Here is a 6,190-nt window from a genome sequence, read left to right on the forward strand (position 1 = left end):
GCCAAGTTCATTCCACTGCACTCCAGTCTGGGCAACAGAGTGAGACTCCGTCTCAAAAAAAAAAAAAAAGTCAATTAATCCATTGTTAATGATTTGACTCTTGACTATTCAATTATTAAATATGGATTCCCACTCTCCTCCAACCAAGAGTTGAAAAAGCAACCTGAGAAATCAAGGGAAAATAACACACACATATTAATCACAGTAGCACACATTAAGCACTTGTTATATAAAGAGATTCTTGGTGCTCAGAGCTTACATCCAGCATCTTATCAATGCCTCCCAGCAACCCCACCAGATACAAAATTTCAGCTCACTTTATGCATGAGAAGCCTGAGGCTCGGAGAAATAAAGTCACTTGTCTAAGGTCACACAGTAAGGAAATGGCCACAATGACTGCACTCAGGCAGCCAGCTCTAGAGCCCACACTCTAAACCACTGTGAATCCTCCTTCCTTCCTTCCAACACCCCTCACCCCACCACACACACACACATGCACACACGCAAGCGGGGGCTGATGAAATATGTGTTCAGTGGGACTGACAAGCTCAAATAAGGAAATGTCAACAGCTCAGAGATGAGAATAGGGCAGGAGAATCTCGCTTCTCTGTCTTTCAATTCAAGCTCCCTAATCCGGAATGCTTCATCAGGGATTTGCAACCCTAAACGCTAGTGTTCTCCTTGCCAGCTGTGAGCTTGTGGGGTTCTTCCTGCTCATGATTCAAAGAGCAAACACAGGAGGGCCAGGCCTGGTCCCCAACAAGGCTACCTGGTTCACTGGTGAAGGCAGCTTTTGTCTGCCTTCCTCCTGACTCTTCCTGGGCTGGCGCAGGGCTTCCTGTAGGGACCTCCTTGGGTTTCTGACATTCTGTTTTCATTTTAAGGTTCATGGAGCATGGACTCATTACATTTCCTCCCAGAAGGGCTTGTTGGACAATGGACCTCTATTAGGATACTGGGGTTCACACTGGGGGATGGTTTAAGGCCCAAATGCAGCCCCAAATGTTCAGAACCTCAGTCCTGGCTCTGCCCCTCTGAGCTTTATAACTTCCATGCCCTCCCACTACTGGGCACTGACTCTGTGCCAGGTATTGGGCTGGGAGCTACATGTGTTTCCCCAAATTGTAGCCCTCCTGCAGCCCTAGGAGGTGGATGTCCTTAGCTCCATGACATAAGCAAGGACACTGAGGCTCAAAGAGGGGGTGCAACAAAGCATTTCTAGAGATCTGTCATACCACATCGTGCCTACAGTTAACAATGCTGTATTGTACACTTAAAACTCTGTTAAGGCCAGGCGTGGTGGATCATGCCTGTAATCCCAACACTTTGGGAGGCTGAGGTGGGCAGATCACCTGAGGTCAGGAGTTTGAGACCAGTCTGATCAACCTGGTGAAACCCCACCTCTACCAAAAATATTAATACAAAAATTAGCTGGGTGTGGTGGCACACACCCATAATCCCAGCTACTCGGGAGGCTGAGGCACGAGGAATCACTTGAGCCTGAGAGGCAGAAGTTACAGTGAGCCGAGATCATGCCACTGCACTCCTGCTTGGGAGACAGAGCAAGACTAAGAAAGAAGGAAGGAAGGAAGAAAGGAAGGAAGGAAGGAAGAAAGGAAGGAAGGAAGGAAGGAAGGAAGGAAAGAAAGAAAGAAAGAAAGAAAGAAAGAAAGAAAGAAAGAAAGAAAGAAAGAAAGAAAGAAAAGAAAGAAAGAAAGAAACTGTTAAAAAAAAAAAAAAACCAAAAAACTCTGTGGATCTCATGTTAAGTGTTCTTACTACATTAAAATTTTTTTAAGGCCATACACGGTGGCTTACACCTGTAATCCCAGCACTTTGGGCAGCCAAGACAGGTAGACCAATTGGGCCCAGGAGTTCAGGCCAGCCTAGGCAACATGGCAAAACCCTGTGTCTACAAAAAACATGAAAATTAGCCCGGTGTAGTGGTGCACACCTGTAGTCCCAGCTACCCAGAAGGCTGAAGTGAGAGGATCACCTGAGCTCGGGAGGTCGAGGCTGCAGTGAACTGTGATGGCGCCACTACAGTTCAGCCTAGGCGACAGAACGAAACTGTCTCAAAAGAAAAAAAAGAAAGGGGGTTGGCAGGGGAAGCGCTCCACCAACGGGAGGGCTCCAGGGAAGATGGGCAGGTGCTTTCTGAACTGAAAACTGTGATGCAAACTTGCACTTGAAGTAAGAGCACTGAAGCCCCAGATGACAGTCTGACTTCACCTCTTCCCAGCTGAGATGACCCTGTGCAGGTCACAGCCCTCCTTGAACCTCAGTTTCCCCACAGGCTTGTTACAGGTGGCATAAAGCTCTAGTGTCTCACAAAAGGTTATCATTAGTAGTAGTATTTTTTTTTTTGCACTTTAAAAGCAAGTGCAAAGATTAATCTCAAAAGCAAGGGGAGCTTGCCTGAAGCAAACCCTACTTGAGAATATATATTTTTTTCATCTAAGTTGGGGTTTCTGGCTCTCTGGGAATGCTCTGGAGCTTCCAAGGCCATCTGAAGACCCTCTGCAACTCAGTCCCCACGCTGACCTTTCTCCTGGGGAGGAGATCCTGCATCCCATTCTCACATTCTGGAGAACAGACCTTGCATAGGTCAGAGCCCTTTGAAAAATCAAACCAATTCTGCCCTTTAGAAATGGATCTTTTTTTTTTTTTTTTTTTTGAGACAGAGCCTCACTCTGTCACCCAGACTGGAATGCAGCGGCATGATCTTGGCTCACTGCAACCTCCGCCTCCCAGGCTCAAGCAGTTCTCCTGCCTCAGCCTACCAAGTAGCTGGGTTTACAGGTGCGCACCACTAATGCCCAGCTAATTTTTGTATTTTTAGTAGAGATGGGATTTCACCATGTTGGCCAGGCTGGTCTTGAACTCCCGACCTCAAATGATCCACCTGCCTGGGCCTCCCAAAGTGCTGAGATTACAGATGTGAGCCACCACACCCGGCCAGAAATGGATCTCTTGATTGACAAAACAACCTGAGCAAAGGCTCCCAAACACAATTGCAACCTGAGAAGCAGGAAGGAAAGGCACCACCTACAGTTTCTGAGAAACACATGGAGAGGGTATTGACATCACCAGAGTGGGGAAAACCTCTTGAAATGTTCGTGGTGTGTCCTTCCACTTGTTTCCTGGTGCCCTGAGACCTTTCCCCTGTTCAGGGCAGGGAGCATGCAGTCCCTGTGGCCACAAGGAAGGGCAGTTTCAACAGAAGCAGAAACAAGGCTCTTGACTTTCAAGAGCCTGGGTTTTTGATAAAGTGGTAGTGACAGAGAACAAACAGGTGGTTGCCAGCAGATGAAGGCAGGGTGTGGCTGTAAAGGGACCCATGAGAGTGCCTTTGGGGGGATGGAACTGTTCTTTACCCTGATTATGATGGTGGCTGACTATACATGTGGTAAGACTCAAAGGACCATACCACTAAAAGAAGTCAATTTTACTGTAAGTTTTTTTGTTTTTATAGTCTTGGCTTTTGACTTGTTAAACTCAGGGCATAGGAGAGTCTGAGAACAGCATACACACAATGAAGTTGAAGCAAATCTTCCTGCCCACAAAACTAGAAAATGCCCTATGTTGGGTTGGTGAAGTGTGAGGGTCCAGGAGAACTGGAAGGAGCATAGTTCTGGTGGGTTCTGATGGTGCCTCCGTCCCTTGCTGCTCCCAGGCAGACCTGAGCATGGGATGAAGGGAACAGAATCCCAGGCACATGTATGGGATCCAGGGACAGAGGGCGTCTGTGTCCACACTCCCTCCCAGAGCCAGAAGAGGGCATGAGACCCCAGGGAGAGAAGGGTAAAGGGAGGGTCTAGGTGGATCCAGGCAGGAGGGCTTGGGCAGCCCCTCACAGTCCTGTATCAGGCCCAAGGAACTGGCGAACAGCAGAACAATTCTGTGTCTTACAAACGAGTTGAAAGTAAATGCTAAATCCAAAGGGACCTTTCACCAGGAGGGAAGTACAGTGTCTCTGCAATCTAGGGGCAGATGGCACATGGCTGTCTCCTATATTGCCAGCCAAAAATAGGGACAGGCAGCCTCCTTGGTACAAACAAAGCCCCTAGCACAGACATGAAACCCCAGGGGGAAATTGGGACATTTCTGTTCCTGAGCAAAATGGCATTTGAAATGGTAAAGTATAGATAAATCAGAAAGATGTGTGGACGCCTGAGTTTATGAACTGTGATTCATACCAGCTCCCCAGACATCATCTCCCCATAGCCCTGTGAGGCAGATTTTATGCTCCCCATTTTACAGGTGAGGAAACTGAATGAAGTTCAGGGAACTGGACTGACTTGCCCAGGGTCGTAGGATTTGAACCAGGGCTGTTTGAGCCCAAATTCACCCACTTTCTGCTGCAATACAGACACAGCCTCCCGGCCTCAAACCAGAGGGTGTAAGCTTTCATTAACTGGCTGCACAAACTCTACTAATTCCTTGCCTTATCTGCCTCAGTTTCCCCACAAGGATAGTAGCAACCTGACCCAACCCACAAGAGTTATACGATGGGACCACTGTGAGGATGATTGCCATGTACAAGATGTGGGCAGAGTCCAGCAAGTACCTTGAATGGATAATTAAGTTCAAAGCCATGGCCCCAAACCCTTGGGGGCACCACCCAGACTCTGGAGAGCAGTGGAGCAGGCCAGTGAAGGCCTAGTGTGAGGGAGGCAGTGTGGCCCACTGATTAGCAGGGACTCAGACAGACACAGAGGGTGGCAGGGTCAATTGACTCCAACACTCACTCGCTGTGTGTCCCCAGGAAGCAGTCACCCTTTCTGATCCTCAGCCTCCTCATCCAATGTATGAGAGACAACAATACCAACCACTCCTGAAGAAGATGAGGTTCAAATATGGAGAGCACCTGGCATGCAGTCAGTGCTTAATAAAAGCACATTTATTCCTTCTCTCTCCACTTTTGCTTATAAGGTGTTAGGTTTTGCAGGGTAAGAGCTGCGCTCACTGGTCCAGGACCTTGGCCTTCCTGTGTCTTCACTTTTTCATCTGCTGAACAGACTCCAAGGGCCCCAGTGGTGGGGATAAATAAATGCCTGATTACTCCATTTAGGGAAAGGTAGAAGAAAGGGTAGGATAGAGACCAGGATGCCAAAGGATCCCTCAGGCCTGGGAACCTGGAAAGACTTTTCCAGGACCTAAAAGAGAAGCGGCGGGGCACTGTGGCTCACGCCTGTAATCCCAGCACTTTGGGAGGCTGAGATAGGTGGATCACCTGAGGTCAGGAGTTCGAGGACAGCCTGGCCAACATGGTGAAACCCCATCTCTACTAAAAATACAAAAACTTTGCCAGGCATGGTGGCGCTCGCCTGTAGTCCCAGCTGCTCAGGAGGCTGAGGCAGGAGAATCACTTGAACCCGGGAGGTGGAGGTTGTCATGAGCTGAGATCACACCACTGCACTCTAGCCTGGGCGACAGAGTAAGACTGTCTCAAAAAATAAAATAAAATAAAAATTAAGTGAAAATTTAAAAAATAAAAAGGGACGCATGAAAGTGTAAAGTTCACAGGTGGGGAAATCAAAATGGCCAGCAAGTGTTGGGAGGCACCTTCATCTCTCAGTGCAGTGATTCGGGGAAAGGACCTGAATGTGGATGTCTCACCCCAGGCAAGCACTGCATCTCTGGACAACTTGCCTCACACTCAGCCTCAGTTTCCCCCTTATAGAATAGGAGTACAGGGTTGTGAGGATTTTGTGAGATGCTGCCTGTGAACACCATGGCAGGCCAGGCATACAGCAGGAGCTCGGCCAGTGTCTGCTGTTGGCGTTGTTTTTGTTGTTTTCATTCTCCAGTCAGTTGCATTCTAACTCTGCTGCATCCTCTCTGGGTCTTTCAGCACTTGTCCCCACTGGATCTCAGTTTCCTCCTCTATAAAAGAGGAGGAGTCACCTCTCCCTCTCAGGGTTCTTGTGAGGACAGAGAGCTCCTGACGTGCAATAGGGGCTCTGAAAACAGGAGACCCTTGCCCTGGAATGGAGACGCACCCCAGATGTAGGATGCAGTGTGACTCTTTTGACATTTTAGGAGAAAGAATCCTCCAACTGGAGCAAAAAAATTAGAGCAGGAGAGGAAAGGGGCCAAGAGATGAGACTGAGGTCCCTTCCTGGGCTCTGTCTGGCTGCTCCTTTCAATGCTCCAAGCTACCTTGGGAGCGTGGGTCCCCAACCTT

The sequence above is a fragment of the Homo sapiens genome, chromosome 20 (genome assembly GCF_000001405.40).
Source record: "Homo sapiens chromosome 20, GRCh38.p14 Primary Assembly".
Taxonomy (NCBI): Eukaryota; Metazoa; Chordata; class Mammalia; order Primates; family Hominidae; genus Homo; species Homo sapiens.